The sequence below is a fragment of the Homo sapiens genome, chromosome 1 (assembly GCF_000001405.40).
Source record: "Homo sapiens chromosome 1, GRCh38.p14 Primary Assembly".
Classification (NCBI taxonomy): domain Eukaryota; kingdom Metazoa; phylum Chordata; class Mammalia; order Primates; family Hominidae; genus Homo; species Homo sapiens.
Genome location: NC_000001.11, coordinates 111770529 through 111797880, shown reverse-complemented (window position 1 = coordinate 111797880; position 27352 = coordinate 111770529). Strand labels below are relative to the sequence as shown.

General features: G+C 45.2%; 1 protein-coding gene and 1 long non-coding RNA gene across 7 annotated transcripts in view; one reads left to right on the top strand and one right to left on the bottom strand.

Moving 5' to 3' along the window:
- KCND3 (potassium voltage-gated channel subfamily D member 3) overlaps positions 1–27219 on the top strand; it is a 219007-nt gene extending 191788 nt beyond the window's left edge. For 4 of the 6 annotated variants that reach the window (NM_001378969.1, XM_006710629.5, XM_017001244.3 and 1 more), the window contains exons 3-8: positions 10775–10937; positions 17090–17191; positions 17567–17656; positions 19389–19445; positions 20608–20855; positions 21603–27219. In NM_001378969.1, coding sequence (NP_001365898.1) covers positions 10775–10937; positions 17090–17191; positions 17567–17656; positions 19389–19445; positions 20608–20855; positions 21603–21804 — 862 coding nt within the window. In that variant the 3' untranslated portion in view covers positions 21805–27219. The remainder of the gene's footprint in view (positions 1–10774; positions 10938–17089; positions 17192–17566; positions 17657–19388; positions 19446–20607; positions 20856–21602) is intronic. The other 2 variants (NM_001378970.1, NM_172198.3) reach the window with 1 other exon arrangement.
- On the bottom strand, positions 1779–10778 carry LOC124904312 (uncharacterized). The gene is made up of 2 exons (XR_007066392.1): positions 6213–10778; positions 1779–3581 (listed from the first exon to the last, which is right to left on the bottom strand). It is a non-coding gene; the product is annotated as an uncharacterized LOC124904312 (long non-coding RNA).

Below are 27352 nucleotides of genomic sequence, written 5' to 3'. Positions count from 1 at the left end.
AAGATGAATATTTTTTCCTATCATTTAAAATCCTTCACTGGAAATCTGCTGATTTCAGGAAGAAGTTCAAATTCCTGGATTAACCCAGAAGAATCTTCATGTGACTACCCCTCCAGCCTCATCTCCCACCTACCCTTTACTCCAGCCAGTAATTTCTCATAGTTCTTCCTTCACAGCTCAGAAGTCAGCCAGTGCTTCTGCCTCCAAGAGATCCTCTGACCACCCTCCAGTTTGATTTAGAGGCCCCTCCTTTGTGCTCACACAGGACCCTGCATACATCCTTCTTGTAGTGTTGTGACATTGGACCATCATCAGGATTTATTTGTCTGTCTTCCCTATAAACATCATAAGCTCCTTGAGGGCAGAGGACATACCTATCTATTTAGCTTTGTATTCCCAGTCCTAACAAACACCCAGCAGATGTTTGATGAGTTCATCAATCCAGGAGGATGGGGGGGAAAGTACTGGCCAGTGCGAGGGGCTATGGGTAGGTGGAGTAGACAGTGCGCAGGGAATCCCTCTGGATGAACAGGCAGGATCTCCCACCCGATGTCTGACTTTGTCTGTTTCCTCATGTACGCATGACTGGTCTGAAGCTGGTTGCTATGACCCCTTTCCGCTGACATGCTATGAGTCTACAGATCTGTGACCTATGGAAAGAGGATGATTTAAAGCAGTAGTCCCCAGATCACCAACATCAGTGATGCCTAGGAACTTAGAATGCAGATTCTCACATCTCACTCCAGAGCTACAGGATCAGAAATCTGAGATTGGGGCCCAGCAATCTATGTTTTATCGAGCCTTCCAGGCAATTCTGATGCACACTAAAGTTTGAGAACCACTGGTTTAGAAGAACAGCTCTGTCACCCAGGACAGCCATTGAGGTGGCAAGACAAGATTATTGCCACAGGCCAACAGTAGTAAAGTGATCTTGGCCAGGAGCCTGCCGCTGTGACTGGCTGTGACTCTACAAGCCACAGCAAACCACAGCAATGATCTGGAAGGGTCGCCCACCCCTTTTCGCAGGACTCTCTGCTGGCAGAGCTTAGGAAACATCTCCCAGAGAACCTCCCAGCAGGGTTTCTAGGTTCATGCCACTTTGAAAGTTTCTCCATTGTCTCAAGGCTGTTCTTTTGTTTTTTATTTAACTTTAAGTTCAGGGGTACAAGTGCAGGTTTGTAAACTTGTGTCACCCAGGTATTAAGCCTAGTACTCATTAGTTATTTTTCCTGATCCTCTCCCTCCTCCACCCTCCAATAGTTCCCAGTGTGTGCTGTTCCCCTCTATGTGTCCATGTGTTCTCATCATTTAGTTCCCACTTAAAAGTGAGAACAGGCAGTATTTGGTTCTCTCTTCCTGACTTAGTTTGCTAAGGAAAATGGCCTCCAGCTCCATCCATGTTCCTGCAGAGGACATGGTCTTATTCTTTTCTATGGCTGTATAGTATTCCATGATGTATATGTGCCACATTTTTTTTTTGGTCTGGTCTACCATTGATAGGCATTTAGGTTGATTCCATGTCTTTGCTATTGTGAATAGTGCTGCAATGAACATTCACATGCATGTGTCTTTATGATATGGAAGACAACCTAGGCAATACCACTCCGGACATAGGAACAAGCAAAGATTTCATGACAAAGATGCCGAAAGTAATTGCAACGAAAGCAAAAATTGACAAATGGGATCTAATTACACTAAAGAGCTTCTACACAGCAAAAGAAACTGCCGACAGAGTGAACAGACAACCTACAGAATGGGAAAAAAATGTTTGCAAACTATGCAATCCGACAAAGGTTTAATATCTAGCATCTATAAGGAACTTAAACAAGTCAACAAGCAAAAAAGCGAATAACCCCATTAAAAAGTGGGCAAAGGACATGAACAGACACTTTTCAAAAGAAATACATGCGGCCAACAATCATAGGAAAAAAAGTTCAACATCATTGATCATTTGAGAAATATAAATCAAAATCTCAGTGAGATACCAGCTCACACCAGTTAGAATGGCTATTATTAAAAAGTCAGAAAATAATAGATGCTGGTGAGGTTGTGGAGAAAAAGGAACACTTATACACTGTTGGTGGGAGTGTAAATTAGTTCAACCATTGTGGAAGACAGTGTGGCAATTCCTCAAAGACCTAAAAACAGAAATACCATTCGACCCAGTAATCCCATTACTGGATAAATACCCAAAGGATTATAAATCGTTCTGTCACAAAGAGGCTGTTCTTTCTCATGTGGATTAGCCAGGTCTTCAGCTCATTCCTCTCCTCCTCCAGCGAGAAAGCAGAACGCTCTGAAGTCAGACAAGCCTGATGTGGAGCACTGGCTTGAATGAGCCGATGATCTTGAGCACGTTACTTAACTTCTCTGAGCTTCAGTTTCCTAATCTCAAAAATGGGGCTAATAGTACCTTGTAAGTTTATGATAATTAAATGGCCCATACTTATGCTAAATAAAAATAAATTATTACTGAATTGCCACTGTGATTATTATTAGATTACCTTGCTCTGAGCCTCATCTGTCCCGTCTGGGTCCACCCCTAGGTGGTGTCTTCAGAGGAACTTCAAGATTCCTAAAAGCCATCCTATCTTTTTGGTTCCTGGCTCACTGCTGGGGCTCACTTTGCAGGTGAGCCAAGGAGAGTGCCCAGCTGCAGAGACACGAGCAGAAGTGTGTGTTGGGGGTAGGGGGTGCATGTGGTAGAAAGGAGAGGTGATATGGGGTTTCATTTCATTTCCCAAGTCTCCCACCTTGAGACTTGACAACATAGGGCTAAAGTGTTTTTGTAGAATTGTGGCTAGGCTGATGCCCTAGATCTGGTCGCCTCTGAAGTGTTCTCCTCCCTTGCTCTCTACCAGGACTGCTGCCTTCCATGTTGGCTCCCCAGAAACCATAGCTTTGGGCCAGATAACTAGGAGCTATGCTTTGACTTTGGAATCAAAGGGACCTGGTCTGTGCCCCAGTTCTGCAGCTGGCTAGCCAAGTGACCTTGGGCGTATTACTTACCACTCTGTGCCTCAGTTTCCTCATCTGCAAAATGGGGATAATAATAGTGTCTACTCATGGGAGGGGATTTGGACATGAAAAGAGGCTGCACAGGTGTTTGTCACAGGATGAACTCAGCCCTGGCTGGTATTTTTGGTGTCTTCCATGATGGTCTACTGTTGTCTTTTGCCCCCGGACAAGGAGGAAGCCACAGAGGTCTGAGTCCCTGGAACACACTATGGTGGCCCAGTCTGCTCTAAGAACTCTCCTCACCCTGGTCCCACCCAACAGGACAGCTTCTGTGCCCCATCCCCATCCCCAACACTGAGGCTCTAGGAAGCCAAGTTCAGGGGCATCCCAGTGGAGAAGATAGGTGCAGCAGTGGGTGTGGCAGTGAGGCTGAGACATCATCCTTGCAGAAACTCATTGAGGATGTGTCTCCCTGGTTGAGCTCCCAGCAGCTGGGCCCTAACCGGCCAGTGCCCTGGTCTCCAGTAAAGAATGGACTCCCCACCACACAGGCAGCCGTGCCCCCACCTGAGAGGCAGGCAAAACTGGATGGGGGAGCTTGGCTTGCACTTATCTCTTGGCACCTGGAGGAAGAAATGAAGGGAGCAATTAATTGTACAAGTCAGGTGGTTTGTGCAGCTTAAGTTCAGATAAAAAGTTTAATTATCCCTAAGCCCTAATACAAATTAATTAGCCTTCCATATTAGGAGGTTAAGCTTCCTTGCTTTTGCCTCAGTCCAGACATTACTGTGGATTACTGAGGATGTGCTGGGAGAGAGAGAGCAACCAAAGCAGAGTCCCTGAGCCCCACCTGCTCAGGGCGACAGCTGCCTCCACACTGGCCCCAGATAGGGTTTGAGTGTGAGTCCTAACTCTGGGCTGGGCACCACAGCTCACCTGTACCTGGGATGTCACCTCCAGGAAGGGCTTTCTCGTCCCTTACTATCCCTACCCACAAAGCCAGGGTAGAGAGAAGAGGAGAGTCGTTATTTGCATGAGCAGAGGAAGACAAAAAGGAAATAACGCTTTGGGTTTAAATTTTTTTTTTCTAAGCCATGACTGTTTCTGCTTTTTCTTTTCTTACCCTTTCTTTCTTCAAAATTCCACAGAGAAAATAGGCCATAAATGCCATTAGGACTCAGAGAATCACCATTAGCTCCCCTACTTCAGTCTTCTGCCCAGGTGGGCCCCAGGAGGGACCATGGGATAAAGGGCCCTGCACACCACGGTCATTACACTCATAATTAGCTGCCATTTAATGAGTGTTTACTGTGTAATAGGCATGTAGTCTTTGCAACAACATTGAGTTAATTTACTCATTAACTCATACATTCAACAAACATTTATTGAAGTGCTTTGAGCAGGGGAAATGACATGCTTTGATTTGCATTTTAAGAATATGCTTCTGGCCGGGCGCGGTGGCTCACGCCTGTAATCCCAGCACTTTGGGAGGCTGAGGCGGGCAGATCACGAGGTCAAGAGATCGAGACCATCCTGACTAACACAGTGAAACCCCATCTCTACTAAAAAAATACAAAAAATTAGCCAGGCGTGGTGATGGACACCTGTAGTCCCAGCTACTTGGGAGGCTGAGGCAGGAGAATGGCATGAACCCAGGAGGCAGAGGTTGCAGTGAGCCGAGATCGCACCACTGCACTCCAGCCTGGAAAACAGAGCGAGACTCTGTCTCAAAAAAAAAAAAAAAAAGAATATGCTTCTGGCTGGGTGTGATTGCTCACACCTGCAATCCCAGTGCTTTGAGAGGCCAAAATAGAAGGATCACTTGAGGGCAGGAGTTCTAGACCAGCCTGGGCAACATAGTGAAACCCACCTCTACAAAAAGTAAATCAGCTGGGCATGGTGGCAACCACGTGCAGTCCTTGCTACTCAGGAGGCTGAGGTGGGAGGATCACTTGAGCTCAAAAATTGGTATTATTTTATATATAAAATAATATATAATTACATATCTATAATTATAATATATATAATTTTATATATATAAAGGGAACAAAAGTAGAAGTGAGAATTAATTCTGGTTAAGAGACTTTTGCAGAAGTCCAGTTTAGAAAGTATGGTGGTCTGGACCCTGGGTTTATTTAATAAACACTTATAAATAAAGCTCTTCCTATATGCCAGGTTGAGCTTTCACAAAAAGTAACTCATGCAATCCCTCACAACAACCCTGTGACGTAGGTACTATTAATTGATCAATGCCAGGAAACTGAAGACAGAGGATTTAAGTATCATGGCCAAGGTCACCCAGCTAACAAGTGGCAGAGCCAGGATTTGCCCTGGGTAGCCTGACACTCAGAGACCACGCTTTTAACCACTGTGCTGTGCTGCTGCTACTGAGCGGAGGTGGAGAGAAGGGGCTAAGCTCCCGCTGACTCCTCACAGCCCTTTTCCACAGCCATCCTCTCTCTAGCCCCACCCTCACTTCCCCTTCTGTCCTTCCCTGACCCTGGGAGGAGCAGGATATGACGGAAAGAGCAGAGGCATGAAAACATCTCTGCTCTAACCCCAGTTGTTCTGCCTCTGACTACCTGAGTGACCTTGAACAAGTTCCTGTCCTCTCTGGACTTTCCCTCCTCATCCCTAACGTGGGTTAACCCTACCTGATAGGGTGGGTTACTGTGAGACCCACTAATGCAGATAAGTTCCTAGCACAGGCTCTGGTACATTGTTCCTTTCCATTCTTCCATTCCCCAACTCCTCTTCTTCGGGCCAAACGTCCCCATTCCTTTGATTTCCTTGAGAGGAATTCCAGACAGTTCACCATCCCAGCCTCCCTTCTCTAGACATGATCCAGTTAATCAGTGTCCTATAGACTATATAGTGCCTGGAACTCGACACAGCAGCCTAGAAATGGTCTGCATCTAGGAGCAGAGTACGACACCCACTCCCTTTTTCCAGACACTGCACTCCCATCAATCCAGCCAAGGATGGCATTAGGTTTTTAACAGCCTCTTTATACTGGTGGATGATGTTGAAGTTAAATTCCCCGGTGATTTTTAACAGAGACTCTTTTTAAACCAGGTCCTTCCCATCAGCTATACGTCATTGATTATTTGAATAAAAATGCTGGTGTTCTCATTTATCTTTGTTAAAATTAATCTGGTTGGTTTCACCCATAATTACAACCTGTTAAAATCCTTTTGACTCCTAAAGACCTCAATTCATAGTAGCTCTGTCATTTAGAAATGTGAGGAACTTACTTTCAAACAATCACCAGTAGCAGCCTCATCACCATCGCTACCACAGGATCTAAATGAAAAAAGGTTAAACGAAAACAGTAATTTGTTAGTGAGCAGAGTCAAAGGAAGGATGGAACAGCTAAGCGACAGGAAAGTCGGGGGTACAGCTGGTCCTCGGTAAGAATTAGAACAGGAACTCCAGCTCCATCACTGTCTTTTCCATCACGCATCTCCTGCTAGTGCCAGCCTTCTTCCTCCCCGACTGCAATCCCGCTTTTCCCCATGGCAGACAGCATGGCTGCCAACAGCTCCAGAGCTTTGCTTGTTGCAGCATCGGCTTCTTTGAAAGAGACTGATCTGGTCCCTAACGTAAAAGTCCAAGGAAGGGGAAAAGATGTTCAACATCATCAGCCATCAGAAAAATCCAAATCAAAACCACAATGAGATAACACCCACCAGGATAGCTATAAAAAGACGGACAATAACAAGTGTTGTCTCAGATAAGGAGAAATTGGACCCCTCATTCATTGCTGGTGGGAATGTAAAATGGCACCGCCACTCTGGAAAACATTTTGGCAGTTCCTCAAACTATTCAACATAGTTACCGTATGACTCCTAGAGAAATGAAAACGTGTCCACACAAAAACTTGTACACAAATGTTCATAGCAGCATTATTCAGAATAACTCAAATGTGGGAACAACCCAAATGTCATCAACTGATGAGTGAATTAACAAAATGTGGTCTACCCAGACAGTGGAATGTTATTCAGCCATAAAAAGGAATGGAGTACTGATACATTCTACAACATGGGTGAACCTTGAAAACACAGTCAGTGAAAGAAGTCAGACATGAGAAGCCACATATATGGTTCCATTCACATGAATTGTCCAAAACGGGGACATCTATAGAGACGGAAAGTAGATTCGTGGTTGCCTAAGTCTGAGAGGTGGGGTGTGGAATGATCACTGACTGCTAATGGGTACACATTTCTTTTAGGGGTTATGAAGTGCTCTAAAATTAAACTGCGGTGATGTGAGCGCAACTCTCTAAATACATTAAAAACCATTGAAATGCATAATTTAAATGGTTGGATTTTATGGTATGTAAATTGTGTCTCAGTAAAGCTTTTAAAAAATAAATCCAGGAAAGGAAGTCATTGGTTCAGCTTGGGTGAGATGCCCTATTTTGAACTCACCAGCTGTGGCAAGTGGGCATTGGGGCATGGGAAATATGGCAGCTTATCTGGACAGTTTACATCATCATGGGAAAGAGGGACACAGTTCCTATTGGGGTGTCAGCAGACAAAATAGGTGCCCACTACACTGGCTAATTCTAGACAATTTACAGTTATTCAAACACTGAATTAAGTGTTTCTTTTGAATTATCTCATTAATTATCGCAACAACCCTGGGGATATAAAACCCATTTTATAAGTGATAGAGGCTCAGGTTAAATAAATGCCCCAGGGTCACTTAACTAGTTGGTAACTAATGTAAGCTAGGGTTCAAACCCAGGTTGGACTCCAGTGTCCTCTCTTAATTATTAGGCCATGCTGCCTCCCTCTGGCTTTTATAAGTTGTTGAAAAATTCCGGAACATACCACTGGAGACCTAACTTGAGATCCATTCTTTATTTCATTTACTTATTTACTTTTTCATTAAAGGAGACATTTTAACATGAAAACCATGAACTTCCTTTGCTGGCATAGGACCATAGTTGGTAATCTTTGAGAAGTGCCAGAAGACTGGAGATGGTTGTGCAAACCCTGCTAACCACACTGCTATCCACACCACACTCCTCCAGCTTGTCAAGGGTATAAAGAACTGGGACAAGAACACATCTTGTTAAAATCATGATGCAATAGGTCTGGAGCAGTCTCCTGATCTACCAACCAGTTAACCTCACTGTCAAAACAAGAAATAAGGTTAATTTGGCAAGATGTGTGCCTAGTGAACCAATACAGCTTATTTTCCAAGTATTCACAAGCTGTCTACTTAATAATCTGCTCTCAAATTCTGCCAGCAATTTGATGGCACAATTTACAGATACCAAGCCTATTGGTCTGTGGTTTCTCAGACCTCCTTTTGCCTTCTTTAAAAATTCAATACAGCCGTTTTCCATCTCTAGTCTCTTGGTAATTTTCTGCTGCACCATGATTTCTCAAAGATCCAGGGCAGTGGTTCTGCAACCCCATCTGCACATTCCTCCTGTCTCCCGGGTGGGATTCATGTGGGCCTGTGATGTAAATTTACTGAATTCAGCTGGACACTTGCCTGCTCTCCCGTCTCCTACTTTAAGCTCTGGATCCTTCTTTTTGGCATTTGTTCCAGCCTCTCCAAGATGCAGCTCCTTATTCCCGGTGGAGAAGGCAGAGGACGCCTGGGAGTGGATTGTTCGGCTTTCTCACTGTCATCTGTCACTAGCAGACCATCTGCCCCAGCAGGAGGCATGGCTTCCCTTCTCCCTCTTTCTTCATATGGATGAAGCAATCTTTCTGTTGTCCTTAGCATTCCTCATCAGCCTTGGTCACTCTGAAATGCAGCCTTCCTGGCATTGTTCTTCTGCACTCCTGCCATGCTTTATTTTCATCCACAGCCCTGTGCCCACAGGCCCCCTTTCAGTTGTGTCATCTGAAAATCCCAGCTAAGGTGATATATCTCAGAGGCAGCCCCTTTTTCTTCATCAATGGGGCTATTTGAACTTGGGACAACCAACTGTGTTTTTAGAGTTTCCCATCAACAGAGACTGTGGTTTTCAGAATGCCTAGCTAAAAGTAATAGTATCTATTGTTTGTGGAGCTGTATATGTCACAATAGGATTATGATCTAGGTTACTGTTATTATCTTCATTTTACAGACAACGAAACTAAGGCCCAGAGTAACATTCCCCCAAGATCATATGGTTATTTTATGGAGCAGGGTGAGTCTTGAACCCACATTATCTAAATTCAGAATCCATGTTCTCAACCACTTCCCTGGAGGCCTCTCCTGAGTACCACGGCAGAGGAGACAACCCTAGCTGCAAAGATCTAGAAGGCTCTAGCACAGGCCTTAATGCTAGTGCACGTCCAGGAAATCTTGAGCCAGGGCAAAGGGCATGAACACTGAAGGAGAAGGAAGACAGTCTCAAAACAGGAGCCTACTTCACAGGGAATTGAGAGGCTTAAGTGAGATCATTCATTCATTCATTCACCGAATACCTGTCTACCTCTGCCATGTCCTCCACCAAGTTCTTGGGTGTTCATACTTCTGAAATAGCTTGCCCCATCCCCTTCCACATCTTCTCTGGAAACCCAAGCCCCGTGGTTTCCTCAGGACAGATGACTTTGAGTCTATTTTAGCAGAAACAATTCCTGGTCATCCTAAGCTTGTTTCTGCTCCAGACACCCAGAGGGCACAGAGGCAGGGGAGATGGTGTTTCTGGCTTTAGCCGAAGGAGTAATCACAGCTCTTTGCTTAATAAGGCCTTTCAATTATCTCAATAAAGAGGAGACTAAACACTTAACCACTGTGGAAAGCATCTTATTGATTGGAGGGACAGAGGCTCTGGCCTGCATGCCGAAGACTGAGTAGGATCCAGGCCAACCTGGTTCCAGAGGGCAGCTGCTAGGGTGTGAAGTACTTAAAAGAGTTTCTCCAAGCTCTGAGAGGAGCCAGCACAGTTCCAAAGTGGCTTCACAGCTTTAAGGGGCTGAGCTTCAGAGCTCATGGTCCTCCTCTGAGATGCTATGGCTACTGGAAAATAGACAAAAGCAAGAAGAGTGGCTTTTAATCCCAGCTGAGCAAATGAGAGCAGTCCATGTAATTATCTCAGCCTCAGTTCCTGCATCTGTACAATGGGGATAAGAATACAAAGTTCACAGGGTTCATGGGGCTTATGTGAGGTAAATATGTAGAAGTGCTTTGTAAATTATAAATCTACATGAATAGGTGAGTTTGTTATTTGTTGTTATCATCATAAATGAGATTCTGTTACTCTTTTGCTTAAAACTCCTCATGGCGCCTCACTGAATGGGATAAACCCATATTCCTCCCCATGGCCCGTCAGACGCTGCATGATCTGGCCCCTGCCTGCCTTACCCTCCTCTTGTGGTGTCCAGTCCTGCTGACCCTTTGACAATTCCTAGATCAGGCCAAACTCCTTCCTGCTACTTCAAGGCCTCTGTACTTGCTGTTTCCTCTACCACACACACTTGTCCCCAGGTGTTTTACATGGCTGGCTCCTTTACATTCAGCTCTCAGCTTAAATGTTAGCTCCTCAGAGAGGCCTTTCCTGACCACACTCCCACCACCTGATGCAGCACCTCTCTCTAGTCTCTTTGTAGAACCAACAAAGACATGATATTTTTATGTATTCACTTAATTGTTTACAGTCTTGTTAGGATGTTGGCTCCCTGCACATAAGGATCTTGTCTCTCTTGTTCACCCCCAGGTCCATGTCACAGTACCTGGCACATAGTAGATACTCTAAGCAATTGCTGAATGAATGAATGAATAAACAGGTGAATGATTGGCAGGGAAGCCTGCCTTGTTTCCCAAATGGCCCTCTCTCCCTTACACCCTGTTTCTCTCCCTCTCTCAGATACGGAGACATGGTGCCTAAGACGATTGCAGGGAAGATCTTCGGCTCCATCTGCTCCTTGAGTGGCGTCCTGGTCATTGCCCTGCCAGTCCCTGTGATTGTTTCCAACTTTAGCCGGATTTACCACCAGAATCAGAGAGCTGATAAACGCAGGGCACAAAAGGTAAGCCTCAGACGCAGGGAAGCGGGGGCAGTGTAAAGGATGCGGGGGAGCACCAGTCAGGGAGCCAGGACTAGAGCTCCTCACAGGATCACTGCACAGATGGCCTCTGGCTTTGCAAGGTAAGGTAGCTTCAGTCCCTTCCTGCTCACCAGTCTCCTGAATTCCAGCCCCAGTCAGTTCCAAAAGGCACTGAACCCTCAATTATCTGTAAGCTGATTATCCCCCTTTGGACATTTTTTGGCAATTTCCTTGGCTCCTGGCTCCACCTCCACTCCCTCAGCCACTGCCACTCAGCCATCCCCGCACTCCTCCCTCTCCCAGCCAAGAGCTTACTAGGAAACATAATCTCTTTTTAATATCCTATAAAAGCCTATACAAAACCCAGTGGCAAAAATAAATTTGTTGAAAAGAAAAATAAATACTGTGAAAGGAGAGCATCCTGAGGCCGTTGAGTTCAGGGACAAATGGCACAACAGGCTTTAGGAATTTCCAAGATATCATAGGGCAAAGGCACTGAAGTCAACTGCAGTTGGTGATCAGGAGACTAACCATCAGTCCTGGGGAAAGATTTAGATTATGTTCAATACACACTGCTGAAAATGGCAGGAGAGGGTAAAATACGGTCATTTGCCCATGCAATGAGGAAAAATGTCTGAAGGCTTTGGTGCTCAGAAAGAAGCCTCTTTTTCCAGCTAGCCCTCAATCTTGTTTCTAGAACAACTCATCAACTCAGCCAACTCTTGTTCACTTGCATTTTTAAGGCATCTAGCCAGTGAGGTTCCTGGGTAGTGACTTTCCCCAGGTTTCCTCTCAGAAGAGGGATATCTGTGTTGGGGAAGTGGGAAAGCGGTGTTTTTCATTGTCTTCAGATCTGGGCTGAACTGTGGTGCCCCTTCAGCAGCATCTCAGCCCCCAGGGGTTATGGCCAGAGCCTTTCTGAGGACAACGGACAGGAGGAGAACTGTTGAAAGACTGGCTTTTGGAGGCTTGGGGTTTTGTCTCCTTACTTTATTCTTTTATCCATTATTCCACAAACATTTACTGAGCACGTACTATGTGGTCGGCCCTATGCATTGCAGCCAGATTCTTTCCTTGCTACAGAATCCCTGCTACTGGCCTTCTGCTTGCAGGGATAACCTCCAGGTAGCAGGGCTTGCCTTGGGTGTAAAGGCTCAAAGGGAAGTTAATGTCGTTATGGAGGAAGAAATCCAGAATTTCAGAACAGATCTGTGTATGCCGACCATCACAAAGCTATAAAGGTTACGAAAGCTAGCTCCAAAATGTATAATAATTATTACATAACAATTTACATATAATTGTGTAGTGAATCCAATTGGTTCCCACCTCCAGCCTATCACCTTCTGTGTGCCTTTATGGTTGGCTCCTTGCCCTGCTGTCCCCTCTGCCTCTGCTTTTATTTATCCTGACCTGGTCTGTTAAGTTGCCACCTTAAGATTTATCTTCTGGCTCTGTCCGTCATCCTTTGTGTCCCATACACACCTATCTCCTACCTCTTCACCCAAGGTCAGGGTTTCCCTACCTCCTGTTCCCTGACAGTCATCCCAGAAATGGAAATCTTACCTCTTTCCCTGTTCAAGTCAGGCAGCAAATTTGAATAGGGCCTAAATTTGTTATACAGAAACTGGGATCTCCTTCCCACATTCAGGAACCAGAGACCCTGAAGGGCCAGGGATCCTCTAGTGGCCCTGCCCCCAAGGGGCTAGAGCTGACACAGGCTTCTGGCAGAGCAGGTGAGGTTCACAGGAATCCTCAGCTCACACACTAGCCCACGGCTGTGCACACACCAGTGACAGCCCATTCCAGCTGTGTTCTCAGTGGCTCCTACAGCTACCTTTACTTCACCTGGGAATTGATTTATTATTATTATTATTTTAGAGATGGGGTCTCACTATGTTGCCCAGGATGGAGTCAAACTCCTGAGGTCCAGGAATCCTCCCACCTCAGCTTCCAGAGTAGCTGGGATTACAGGCGTGCTCCCAGCTCTCCCCTAGGACATTATAAAGCTCATCCTGTGTGATTAAAATCTAGGAGCAACTCAGGCTTCTTCCTTCCTCTCGCTGCTAAAGATGGGTCTCCCTCCCACCCTGACCCTTTCCCTCTCCCTCTTCTCTCTCCCCTTGAAATCAGAGTAAATATTTACAGTGTTTTCACCTTGCCTGGATACTGTTTCTCCTCAAGGCTGCTCAGCTCTGTGTCTGTCACCTTGGGCTTCCTATAAGAGGGAAAAAAAATGCTGGCTGCTCCAGCATTGAGTCTGTCACCATGGGTCAAGGCAAGTAGGTCCAGAGGATTTGGTGGAAAGTGGAGAGATGGGATGGGAAGGAAACTAATGATAGTTCTCAGCCCAGACCACATAATTGGGAGCTGGAGTAGCTATATCGTCATCCTCTTCCCATGACTGGTTTGCTTGGGATTATTACTAAGATTAGTCTATTACTATTTGCCTTAGATACTGTGTCCTCTGAGCCAAGTGAACTGGAGATAAGGGTCTGGCAGTGGACAGGTAGAGAGGAACATCTGGATTGGGGCATTTCGTTCCCATCTCCAGTTCTGGTGCATACCCATATTCTTTTTTTTAATGAAATGTTTTATTGAGATAATTATAGATGCTCACGCAGTTGTAAGAAATAACACAGAGCAATCTCTTGTAAAGTTTGTCTACCAGTTTCCCCTAGTGGTAACATTTTACAAAACAATAGTACTATATATCACCACCAGGATATGGACATTGTACAACCTACCAATCTTATTCAGATATCTCCAGTTTTACTTGGACTGGTGTGTGTGTGTGTGTGTGTGTGTGTGTGTGTGTGTGTGTGATAAGTTAATGCATCCACTGCCACGGTCAAGAGACTGAACAGTTTCAACATCACAAGGATCCCGTGGGTTGCCCTTTCATAACCCCACCTTCTGCCCTAGCCCTGCCCTGTCCCTAACCCCTGGCAACCATTTATTTTTCCATCATTTATAAATGTTTTAATTTCAAAAATGTTATATAAATGAATTCATGCAATAGGTAACCTTTGGGTATTGGCTTTTTCCATTCTATATGATTCCTGGATTTTCATCCAAGTTGCTGTATAAGTAATCCATTCTGCTGAGTAGTATCCATGGTACAGATGTACCAGTTTGTTTATTTGCCTGATGAGAAACACCAGGGATGATTTCAGTTTTGGACTATTACAAATAAAGCTACTGTGCACAATCATGTAGAGGTTTTTATGTGAGCATAAGTTTTAATTTCTCTGAAATAAATGTCCCAGAATGCAATTTCCCATGTTTTGGCCTTTCCATTTCTTTCTCTTTCTCTTCCTTCTGCCTCTCCAACAGCAAAAGATAGAAATACTCATGGTTAAAAGGCACCCATCAGCCAGACAGGAAGAAAGTGCTTAATTGTGAGAGGCCTCCCAAGGATTGATAGAAGTATTGGCTTGAACATAGATGGTACCTGCAACTGTACCTAGGGTAGCAGCATTCTCCTTCCAGATCCCCTCTCCTCCAACCCTGGAGTCTCCACATTTGTTGAAAATGCAATCTCCTGGGCTTTGCTCAAATTTTGAAACTTGTCTGATGGTGGAAATTCAGGGAAGGAGGAGGAGAATGTTCTGGAAGCATCATTTGGTCTGAAAGTTGGAGGTCCTGAGCTGAAGTCTTGATCGTCCACTGCCTTTCCCTGGATAAGTCACTTCCCTCACATCCTCCTTTTTTTTTTTTTTTTTTTTTGTCTTTGAATTGGTCTGGATGATCTCCAAGCTCTCTTTTAACTCTCACATTGTTCTTAAGGCCATGGAAGAGGGTGAAGTTGACCAATCCACTCAAGGATTGAGCCCATTACAGTGGCAGTATAAGCATGGCCTTCCAGCCAACTCACATAGGATCTTCTTCCTTCCTCGGCCATCATAAACTTTGCTTGAGCACCTGTGCAGTGTGAAACCCTGTGTTGGATGTTAGAGATAAAAATAGGTATAAGCCACAAGCCCCAGCCCCCAAGAGCTCAAAACCAAGCCATAGAGCCCCACCAAATTTCATATTCTGGGTATGGTTATGTAAATCCATTGCAAACCTCTTTGTCCTGTGTGGGAAGAGATTAAATGATCTAGTACATTTGATATGACAATCTGTTGCTTTAATAGAGCCCAGGGTAAGATATGATTAAAAGAAGTGCCACAAAGAAGAACAGGAGAATCTTTCATCTCTAGAAACTAATGAAGACGGACCCCAGATACAAGAACGGTCTGGCTCCAAGTGGTGCAATCAAATTATATAAGACTATAATAAGCTTGACACAATTGGATTTCCATATGAAACTCTCAACACCCAGCACTCACCTAAAGCAATTGCAGCCACATCCTCAAATGATGAGGAACTTGCTTGAATGTAAATATCTAGCCAAGGGGAGGGCTGGAGCAGGATTCCCATGGAGTAAAACTGTCCTGGCCCCCTAGTCAATGTTCTCTGCTTGTAGAGAGGAGGAATGATAGGGCTGATTTGCCATCATCCTTTCTCTCCCAGGTCCCCCTTTTTATTCTCTCCTTCATCAAGAGGAGCAGTCTTCCTCAGACTTAAAGGAAGATCTTTCAGGCTCAAGTCCTGGCCCCTTCCCCACATTTAGAAGCCTGGGAAGGGAGTTGAATTGTTTCTGCAAGGAGATACTTCCCAGGAAGCAAGAGATATACATCCTTTGTGCTTCTGTTGTCCACCTGAACCCCTGAGACTGTGGCCTCCTTTTAGCAGATGAACCAGCCCAGCAGGACACTTGGGGAGAGGGTGACAAGAAGTGGAAATTGCCACAATTTCCCTAGGACTCTTTTCCTGCTTAGGGTCCATGCTGAAGTCACATGTGGACTTGCTCAGAGCCAGGAGGAGGGACCTTCTACTCCAGGATGGGTCTGCTATCCTTGTGGGCTGTTCTGCTTCCAGTAGCAAGCACCTGGGGCTGTAAATAGATTTACAGAGCCCAAACCTCAAGCTGCATTTTTTTAAACTAGCAAGAAACCTCTACCCAGTCCCTTCTCCCTCTCTCAGTCTCATTCCTTAGTCCTCTCTCTTTGGCTGTGCTACTGTCATAGTGACAATGATTACAGTCATTAGGAAGGAGAAGGGCAGCCAGCATATGTAATGTGTTCAGCTTCTCCCTGTGCAAGCAGGAGAGATGAGCTTGATACCATGCAGCCCTCCTGCATGGTATCAACATGGTGATACATGGTGAAACCCCATCTCTACTAAAAATACAAAATTAGCTGAGTGTGTTGGTGGGTGCCTGTAATCCCAGCTACTCAGGAGGCTGAGGCAGGAGAATTGCTTGAACCCAGGAGGCAGAGGTTGCAGTGAGCCGAGATCACGCTACTGCACACCAGCCTGGGTGACAGCGAGACTCCGTCTCAAAAAAATAAAAAAACCATATACATGCATGAATCTACTCCCAAAGACAGATATACAATTGTAAATGTGTTTATTAACTTTAAAAATCGAGAACCTACTGTTTACTGGGGGTACATCAGTAAACAAGGCAAAAACTCCTGCCCTCAAGGAATTTACATTTTAGTGGAAGAGAAAGAGAAAGTATCAAGAAAAATATATAAAACATATATTTCCTTAGTAATACGTGCAAAGAAAAAAATTGCAGAGGAGTTAAGAAGCATTGAAGAGCACATAGGCCCACTCCTTGCTTTTCTCATAATTAACTAATACTTGGGGACCTACTATATGCAGAAAATTGTACTGGACCCTAGAGGAGAATCAGGGCAGCTATCACATACACTCCTCTAAGGAGTTTGCAATTTAGTTAGAGATAAGAAAACTGAGGAGCACAACTGAATAGCACATGGCATTTTGCAATACTGAGTAGATAAAGGTCATGAAACCTTTGGGAGAAGAGAGCTTGGATGAGTGATATTTCTCCTGCCAGGATTATACCCGGGCTGGAGAGATGAGTGGAGACTCCTGGGAATTCTGACCCAACCAAGCTATACAAAGTGGGTACACAACTGGAGATGCATGAGGTTGGAGAGAAACAGCCTCATCCCCTTCATCAGGTGTCACCTGGGAAGCCAGCCTCACAGCTTCACCAGCCTTGCTGTCTTTTTGTATCATGGTCTGCCTCATTCTTTTATTATCTCTGCCAATCACAGAAGGCCCGCCTTGCCAGGATCCGTGTGGCCAAAACAGGCAGTTCGAATGCATACCTGCACAGCAAGCGCAACGGGCTCCTCAACGAGGCGCTGGAGCTGACGGTAGGTGCCTAGAGGACCTGGGCTAGGGAACATAAAGGGGTAGATGGGCTTGTTTTCTCTTTCCCGGGACACCAGCACTCTCACCAGAGCCCCAGTATGAACCCCAAGGAGGACACGTTTCCAAACTTTCCCCAGGTAGCAGCCCCCCATTCACACACCACTTCCATAGGATTATCACCACTACCTCTAAACCAGGTTTAGACCAAGGGCCCCTGAGCCCAAAGGTTAGCATATTCAATGCTGACCCTGAAATTTGGTCAAATAAAAAAAAATTTGATTATTCTATTGCCCTTTGACCTTTAGTGGAGAAATGAAGGAGCTGGAGAGGGGAAGAGCCACCAGCTTTTTACTCAATCTCTCTTCTTTTTTTACTAGGGCACCCCAGAAGAGGAGCACATGGGCAAGACCACCTCACTCATCGAGAGCCAGCATCATCACCTGCTGCACTGCCTGGAAAAAACCACTGTGAGTCCCAGCCCTTTGCCACCTCCTTTTCATCGCTGACCCTGACCCTTTTCTAAGGCTGTACTCACATCTTCACTCTGGGCCAGAAGTCAAAGTCTGTCCCCTTCAGATCCAAAAGGTAGTGATGGGATCTACTGGCCCTCAGGTGGAAGACCCTGAGGAGTGGGGCAAGGTCACCAGGGTGGGAGACCAGCTCTGTCCTGCAGGAGCATTGAGGAGGCCATTCCCCCAGCCTCCCACACACTCCTACACTCGTCTCCACAGCCCATTTCTTGATTATTGAGGACTTAGGGGTCTGCCTATCAGTTTCTCAGTTCTGACAGGCATCACCCTTCAAAGCTTGGGCTGAATTTGTGTAGGAGAGTAGAGAAGAGTGTTGATTTCTGTCCCACCTCTGGGGCTGGGTTGATGCAGCCTGTGGGCCCCTTGGCTCCCTACATCCTCCTGCAGACAGCGTGTGAAGGAGGTAGTGCATGTATTTCTCCAACTAGGATTCAGAAGTACCGCCCCCCCACCCCCACCCCTGCCCAGTCACCCTGTGGTTCTCAGGGAGTCCAGATGCTAACAGGCTGATTGTTAAAACAGAGCCATGGTTTAGGGTGCCACAGCTGGAGTGTGGAATGATGCTTGTGCCTAACCATCAGACTGAAAGGAAGGGCAGTGGGGCCAACCCTGGACCCTTGGCAGAAACTGCTAGGAATAGTAGACAGGGAAGAGAGGTCAGAGTAGAAAAGCCAAGGAGAAACAAAGTGAAAGCCTTCCTGCTCCTTTCCAGAACCTCCTCCCCAAAGAGTCTATAGTCAGGGCTCAGTACCCTAAGGAAGGAACTTCCTAATTCTAGATGTTCCATATCCTGGCCTCCCAGATGTAGAGAGAATAAATGTTAGATGACTCCTTTTTTTTTGGTGGGGAGGGGGGTGTGGGGCTGCAGGGACAGGATCTTGCTATGTTGCCCAGGCTGGTCTTAAAACTCCTGGCCTCAAGTGATCCTCCCACCTCAGCCTCCCAAGTAGTTGGAACTACAGGTACAGACCACCATGCCTGGCTTCGATGACTCTATCTGAGCCAAATGTGGACCCTGTGGATGACAGTTGAACCCAATAATTACTTCCAAAATGGGAAGGTGCTCTGCAAACCCTAGTTACAGGATTTATCATCAAAAACATATATTCATGTATAGACTTTCTCTCAAAGACTCTGAGCTTGCCAAAGGGATAGGCCCGGACCCAACTGCCCTTTCCAAGTTGCATGTGCTGGGTGGAATGTGTAAATTGAAAGGATATGGGTGAAAATATTTGGGTTTGAAGGGCTGGAATGTTGGCATTAAAGAAATGAGATTTTAGAATTGAGGGATGGAATGCTGGCATTGAAGGGATGGAATGCTGAATTTGAGGGAAAGAATGTTGGATTGTGGGGGTGAGATATTGGGATTAAAGCTCTGGAATGCTGGATTTTAGGGGAGGAATGTTGGACTTAAGGGGTGGAATGTCAGGACAGGAGAGGCAGAATGTTGGGATAGAAGGAATGAATGTTGGGGTTGAGCAGGGTCCTGTTGGGGCTAAAGGGTGGAATGTTGGGAGGAAGGGGGCAGAATGCTGGGAATGAGGGGTGGAATGTTTGACTCAAAGGGTGGAATGCCGGGATCAAGAGATTGAATGTCAAAACTGGCTTGGGAATGCTGGAATGTACAATCAATGGTGTTTTTATCTTCTGTTGGCATGTTGTCCTGTAGGGGTTGTCCTATCTTGTGGATGATCCCCTGTTATCTGTACGAACCTCCACCATCAAGGTATAACTTTTTAAAAATTCAATTGATGTTTTTCTCTCTGATAATTCTGAGTCTGTGGATTCTCCCCTTTTTACCCCCCGGCCTGGTTCTGTGCATGTGCTGCTGATTCTTCTGGGGCTCCTCCTACCTCTGCTGTCACACCCAGCACCAGCTCAGGCTTCCAGTTTCTTGCGCTGAACCACCCAACTGTCTTTCTAGTTCCCTCTTTGGAACTCCCCAGGGGCGTGGAAGGGGTGGTGGAACATGGCACCAGTGCTGGTATCCTGTTAGTCTCCAAGTGCCACATCTGTCTGTGCCACATCCCAGCTCCGTGGGGACTCCTGGTATTTGCCGCCAGGCTGGTCTTTCCCTGAACTCTGTTTTCATGCCACTTCTCTTCAGACTTTCTCCTCACTCTGGCAGCCTTAGCCAGACCATCAATGCCATAGATTTGTAGTCAACTTGGCCAAACAGCCATTTTTTAGTTATCCTGGGTTCAGCTATACCCCATCCCAATGGCCTCCAGTCAGGAGACAGTTAGCAATCCCTTCCCATGCTTACACTTGACCTAGGGAATCCTGTGCCTCCAGGTATATTAAGGACTCATATCCCATAATCAGGTGGGGAAAAAAATAATTAAAAGAAACCCTATCCGTGACAGTTTGCCCACTGGCCTTCAGGATCAGTGCTCTCCCAATTCTGTGAATGACCCCCATGTTTAAAAGTTTTTGTCATACCCTTACCTATTAAATCCAGGAAAGACAACCTAGCATACCCACTTCCCACAGTCAGTGACTCCTTATCTGCCACCTCTGGCAGATCTTGTACAAAGCCTGGAAAGTAAAGTCTTTGCCTCTAGCTGTGATGATGCCATTGAATTCCTCTGTGTCCTCTATGTCCCTTCAGCTCAAAGCTGTAGGTGAAGTATATGTCACATCATGATTTCACAACTGCAGTCCCTACCCTTTGAACTGATGGCCAGGGCTGCCAATATGATTCTCTTTCTGTCCTCATTGGATGCCCATGGGACATCACCCCTCCTGAATGCTTATCTGTGATCCGGGCAGCTGGGAGCCCTTCCTTCAAGGTCCAGAACAGAGACAGGCAGCCATACAGAGTATAGGGGCTTACCTCTCTCCTCCCTACCTCCTTTTCCTACTTCTTCTCCTTCTGCCTCCCGCAGAACCACGAGTTTATTGATGAGCAGATGTTTGAGCAGAACTGCATGGAGAGTTCAATGCAGAACTACCCATCCACAAGAAGTCCCTCACTGTCCAGCCACCCAGGCCTCACTACCACCTGCTGCTCCCGTCGTAGTAAGAAGACCACACACCTGCCCAATTCTAACCTGCCAGCTACTCGCCTGCGCAGCATGCAAGAGCTCAGCACGATCCACATCCAGGGCAGTGAGCAGCCCTCCCTCACAACCAGGTGGGTGGCTTCCATCCCATCACCCGCAAAGGCTCGAATCATCCCATTCACAGAATTAGACAATTGCAGCATTAGGAGAACCTTGAGGATCCTCTAGCCGCTCCCCTTATCTAATGCATGAGCCCCTCTACCTTCCTCCTTTCCTTGCAAGGAAACCCAAAGGCCCTTCATATGCTGTTGGAGTAGGTACTATAGCAGTTTAGGCTGAAAATAGGTAACAGGGAAAAAAAAAAACTTTAAAAATAATTATATATATACATATAAAATAATGTGTCTCTAGATACACAAAAATGACCTGATCTGGTACAAGGAATGGACCAACCATTTTCTCAAGAAACAGTTTTCGTATCTGTGTTACTCATGGCTTATCCTAGGCTGATTTGAATCCCAGAGACTGACTTTTCCCTCCCCCTCTGCTTATATTTAGGCCACTTCCCACTACCTCCAAATGCGTTGCAGAGAATTCAGGGAATGCAAATGCCAAATGCCACAAATGATAGATATACAATCACTGGTGGGGGTGATGTACATTCTGCAATTCAAAGCCTACTATATACAACTTGGTAATTTCTGGTAGTTTGGGAATAATAATTAGAATGGATAATTACAAGTTGATTACAAAAGGCAGAGATAGAGGCACAACAAAATATCCTCCTAGTTACCACGAGCAAGAAATGTAGGGGGTCAAGGAAGCTTTGGGACGCTGGCCAGCAGGAACCATCATCAACTCACTCTTTTCTATCCCAGTCGCTCCAGCCTTAATTTGAAAGCAGACGACGGACTGAGACCAAACTGCAAAACATCCCAGATCACCACAGCCATCATCAGCATCCCCACTCCCCCAGCGCTAACCCCAGAGGGGGAAAGTCGGCCACCCCCTGCCAGCCCAGGCCCCAACACGAACATTCCTTCCATAGCCAGCAATGTTGTCAAGGTCTCCGCCTTGTAAAACCACTGGACAGAGGGCCAGAGTGGGTAGTGGGGAATGAAGGGGACTGGCATGTTGGTGGGTGGTCACTGAGACCACTCCCTCCCCCCTTTCCCCACTATTTCTGCCTGCCCCATTGTACCCCTAGCACTGAGACTTGTGCCTGGAAGGAAAAAGAGGTAGCAAAGGGGCACCTGAGGTTCACGCTGCTAGCGTGGACATAGCCCTGTGATACTGCATCTCACTGGGGCCAGAGGAAGGGAGGGAGGGTGGGGGGGTCGGGGATAGGCCGGGGGATATAGGCTATGTGCCAGGACAGGGCCTGGATGGAGGAGCCTCAGACTCAGACCAAATAACAGTCGTTTCTGGAGACCCCAGTGAGGAAAATACAAGACCAAGAGCAGCAAAGAGGCCAAGTTGTCACAAGCAAAACAGGAAGAAAATATAACACTGTGTATTTAAGCACCTTTTTCAAGGCTCTTAATGGATAATATTTATTCATGGGAAAAGGTGGAAAACAAAAACACCAACGGATTTTTGTGAAATGTTTTTCTCCATGGACCCAACACCTTTGAACCAAAACAATGCATTTTGTGAGGGATTTTTTTTTCTCCTTTTATAGCAAAAGCTTTTAGGCTAAGAAGTCAGTTATTGCTGAGTTCTCTCTCCATTCCCCCAGGTGGGTGAGGTCAACTGAGCCTGGGCCCCCACTGCCCAGCTGACCTGTGCAGAGCTGCCAAGTGACCACACGGCAATCCTTACCCTTTGTCTGTCCCTGTCTCCCTTGTCTCTGTACCTCTCTGCTTACCCCTAGCTGTTTCTGTGTCCAGCCATCTGTCTCTACCTGGATCCCAATGATCCTGAAACACATCAGTAAAGCCTTCTTCATCACTGCCACGCACAACAGACTTGTGCCTGGGAGTTCTATCTGTGTGAATGCAACTGCAGAGGAGGAAAGAGTGAAGCAAAAATTGGGAGAGTTTAGGGGTAAGGGAAGTCTACCTCACAGAACAGAGGTACTTCCCTTGGGGTTGGAACCACTCGTGTTTGCAGTTTCAGTTTCTGGGAAAGAAAGGGAATGAACAGATTTATCACACTGGAATCTTGAAAAGGCAAATCGCCAACACCTGAGACGCGGTCAACTCTGGTATGTGCCAGTGAGGGGAGAACGGAAGGACCCAGGGCTCGCAGCCTCAGCCGGTCATTAGGGCACCTTGCTATGGACCCTTCCTTCAAGACCCACCATAAAGCCCATCCAGAGCCCTTCCAAGAGGCCCCGGGAGTAGTTTTCTCCAGAGAGGGCAGTGGTACGGGGACCAAGATTCCTCTGACTTATATCAAACCAGAGGCAACTCCCACACAGAGGCTGTGGAAGGGTAAGCCTGTGTGCCTCAAGAAAAATGCTTCAAAGCAAAAGCAAGTAAGAGATTCTAGATGATTCTTACCTGCTATGAAAGATGCCTTGATGTCTGAAGAGGCTTCGGCCTGATCTCCCTGAAGATGCTGAAATGGGGGAGAAGCCTCATCACCTCTGTGCAAGCAAAGGAGTGAAGATTATTTCTTGAACACCTGGACAACATATCTATTCAACTAGCTTGCACCCTGGTGGAGCTGGGGGCAGCATTTCTGGAATCCTCCTAACCATTGTTCACTGCTTGTAGCAGAGTAGGTGGGCCTCAGGGTTAGTGACAAGTCCTTTCCTGCCCTTCCCAACACCCAGCCACCTTGCTGCAGTCTCTGTAGCCTGGGCTCTGAAATACATGAGCTCCTCGGGAGCTGCCTATCCATCCTACAGCTTAGTGGTTAGCTGTTTAATTGTAGGCCAAGAATTTCTCTCCCCACCACAGCCATCTAAATGAGTTTTACTAGCCAGGAACCTAAAAACACCCTTCGTGGGCTTCCCTATGACCCCAGCTCGATTGACCCTGTAGGTTCAAAAGGTTTCGAGGTGGCACCTAACCAGAATGTGGGCAGAAGGCAGAGGAGAGGGAGCCTTCTTTCTGTCTTTATCTCTTTATGCTTATCCTCATTGACCATGGGCTGAGTTCTTTCTCTGGGTCCCCTAATGTGGGAATGGAGTGGTTCTTGCCCTCTGAGCTTACAGACTAAGAAGGCAGAAAAGCTTTACAACTACAGAGTACATGTGTATACACACAACCAACCTAAACACATCAGAGAATACATACTTAAATCAATTCACTTCATATACACATCTCATTAGAAGACCAAGCTAAACTTCACTTAGAGGGCGGGCAAAGGACTAGAAAAGAATTTTTCTCTTAAAAAAAATGAGTACTAGAGCAAAATTATGAGTGTCTAAGTATCTTAGTTATGCTTCATAAGATCTGACTGGGGTAAGAGATAAAGAGGTAAATAGGGCTGGGCGCGGTGGCTCACATCTGTAATCCCAGCACTTTGGGAAGCCGAGGTGAACAGATCACCTGAAGTCAGGAGTTGAAGACCAACTTGGCCAACATGGTGAAACCCCATCTCTACTAAAAATACAAAAATTAGCCAGGCATGGTGGTGGACCCCTGTAATCCCAGCTACTTGGAAGGCTGAGGGGGAGGATTGCTTAAACCCAGGAGGCAGAGGTTGCAGTGAGCCGTGATTGCACCACTGCACTCCAGCCCAGGTGACACAGCAAGACTCCGTCTCAAAAAAAAAAAAAAGAAAAGAAAAAAAAAAAGGAGGTAAATTAGAACTGGTTGCACACACATACAAACTTCCTGTGATGAATTTAAGAACAGATCATTACAGGGTTAGAATAGTGACAGATTCAACAAAGGATCTGTTTGATAGGGCACCAAGGGAACATTTTACTGGTTCCCACAAAAATTAATAAATGTTAAATATCATGTCCCAAGCAATTTCCCATGTTTTTTTATTGGTCCTAATCAACAGAATGTTTTGTGTTCCTTCCACTTCACGTTCAGAGCCCACGTCATGCCACTTCCTAAAAGACCATTAGACCATCCCCTTTTCCTCCATCCTCCACTGTAGCCTTAGCCAGAGAAAAGATCCAGCTCACTTCTGGTCCAAAAAATGTCAACGTTTGGAAAATGGCTCATCTACACTACAGAACACAGCCAGATGACACTGCTAAAGGGTACTGTAAGAAAACACAAGGTCCAAAGTATGCTGAATTGGTTTCATAAGTCTAACTCATTGGCCAGTGACTGAAAAACCAGGATATCAGGATTTTCTGGGGGCCAATAGCCATGACCCTTGAGCTTTCATAGTTCATGAACCACTTTGACATAATAAAATATTCCCAAAACCACCTATTCCATTCAGTCCCACTCAGCATTAAGAGGGGGAGGGAAAAACAAACCAACCAACCAACCTAACAGTTACATTCAAATGTCAAATGAATGTGAACCTAGAAAATGTAGTATTAAGAGCATATCAGAACTAGAAAAGATTTAAGAATATCTAATTCATTTTACAGTATAGAAAACTGAGACCCAGAGAAATTAAATGACTTGTTCAAGGTCATGCAGTTATTTAATGACAGATCTGAGACCAGAACACGAGTCTTTTGGCTATTAGTCTAATGCATTTTCTACCACACCCACTGCCTCTGAGAGCAGTGATGCTTTGGAGAAGATCCATCAAAGAATCCATACTGTAATTGGAGACATAGTCTTATATGTCAATACGTATATGTCAATACTACTTGGACACAGCCCTTGGAAATCACCTGACTGTACCAATACAAACCATACTTTGGAAACCACCATTCTCTGGGTAGAAACATCTATGGACTATCAATTTTGTCAGAAATCAGTGAACAAGTGAAGAGTCAATTTTTTTTAGTCAAATATTTTCTCTTCTCAATGAAGAGAAGACTAGGACAGTGACATTTTGAAGCATACCTTTTATACTCCTTGTGGTTCTTATGACAGTCTGTGATGGTAGTAGGTAAAGTAGCTAAATCCTTGATTCAGAGAGGGGAAAACATGTGGAAAGAAACTGAACGACTTATCCAAGTTCACATGACAAGTTAGTGGCAGAACCATTATTGCAATCCAGGACTTAAGACATCTTGTCCTAGGATTTTTCCTCCACATTATATTGCACTGCTCTGAGGCTTGCTTATATTTTTCATACCTGGATTTCCAGGGTGGTGACGTGGGGGAGGGAAGTATTCAATTCAGAACCACCGTGAACCAAGATCTCTGGAAACAAACTCTGTACTATTTCTCCTTCATCTCCTATTTTCATAACTAGTGCCAAGCTCAGGACTAACTGCATAGACTCCCTTTCAAAAGACCAATAGATATTCTCAGTGACAGTTGAACACATTAGTTTACAATCACACAGAATTTGAACAGAACTTAAAGTTGACAGTTAATGCCGATCTATAATTAACAAAAATGTCAACTTGTGGATATGCTGATGATTTTATCCAGTTTTCAAAATATGATTCCTACAGTTCAGGATATCACTTATTAGATTGTAGACAAGGAAAATGTACATTGGGACATTATGTACTTAAGAGTTTTTCCTTAAGTTTTGCAGAGGAAGTGGTTGAAAATTGAGCTAACACTAGATTTCGAGGTTACTAAAGAATTCCAGTTTTCCAGTCTCCCACTTCAATTACCAGGTAACTATAAGGCAAAAATATCCCAATGCTGTGAACTTAAGGCAATATTCATTTCCTTTCTACACTACTTGGCATGGTAACCATGACAAACTTTTATTTTCTCTTTCTGATTTCCTAATGAAATCTCATTATTTGCAAAGCTTTAAAATGACTAGATGAAGGAAAAACATTGTTATGACCCATGACCCTCGGAGCCCAAACAGCACCATGAAGAGCATCATTAAAACTAAGAGAAAGTGGCTATCAGAAAATGAAACAGCTTTAAAGGGGTTCCTTTTAAGTCTTGTTTTCTATTCAGAATGTTCTGTGTTTTTTCTCAAGTGTGGGAATGACATTTATCTTAGCAGGTTACTCAACTACACTGGATGATGTCACTCTAACCAGTGTACGGCACTGACCCAAGTCCTGGGGGGCTCCTTGGACCAATGGACTATTTTACAAACCTGGGAGGTGGGAGGGATGGTATATTTTTGATAATCAGACATTCCAATGTAATGTTTTCCTTAGAGGTCACACCCTTCCCCCCATTAATGTCATCGTGAGATACATCAAGTGTGTTCTTTTCTATTTTCGTATAATAAATGGGCTTTGCTTATCAACATCACAATGGCAAAGAAGAAATATACTGTACAAAACTGCAGGAAGATAAAACATGAAAACTTTCTATGAAAAAAAAAAAACACCCTTGAGTTTCCTGTCGTCTTCTTTTGAAACTGTAGTGCATATGTTAAAACATGTATATCATTTACAGTATTGAGTCGTGTGCCACTGCTGTACCTGATGTATCCAATCTGGATTAAACAAATTATGTGCCACAAACCCTAAAATGACTGTTTCTTTGAATACTGATTCTCCTTTCCTCCCAAAGGTGCTGGTATATGCTAGAAAATAGAATAATTTGAACACAGATTGGCTTTCTACCTTGCTAGAGAAAACTCACAGAATCTTAGAAGGGTTATT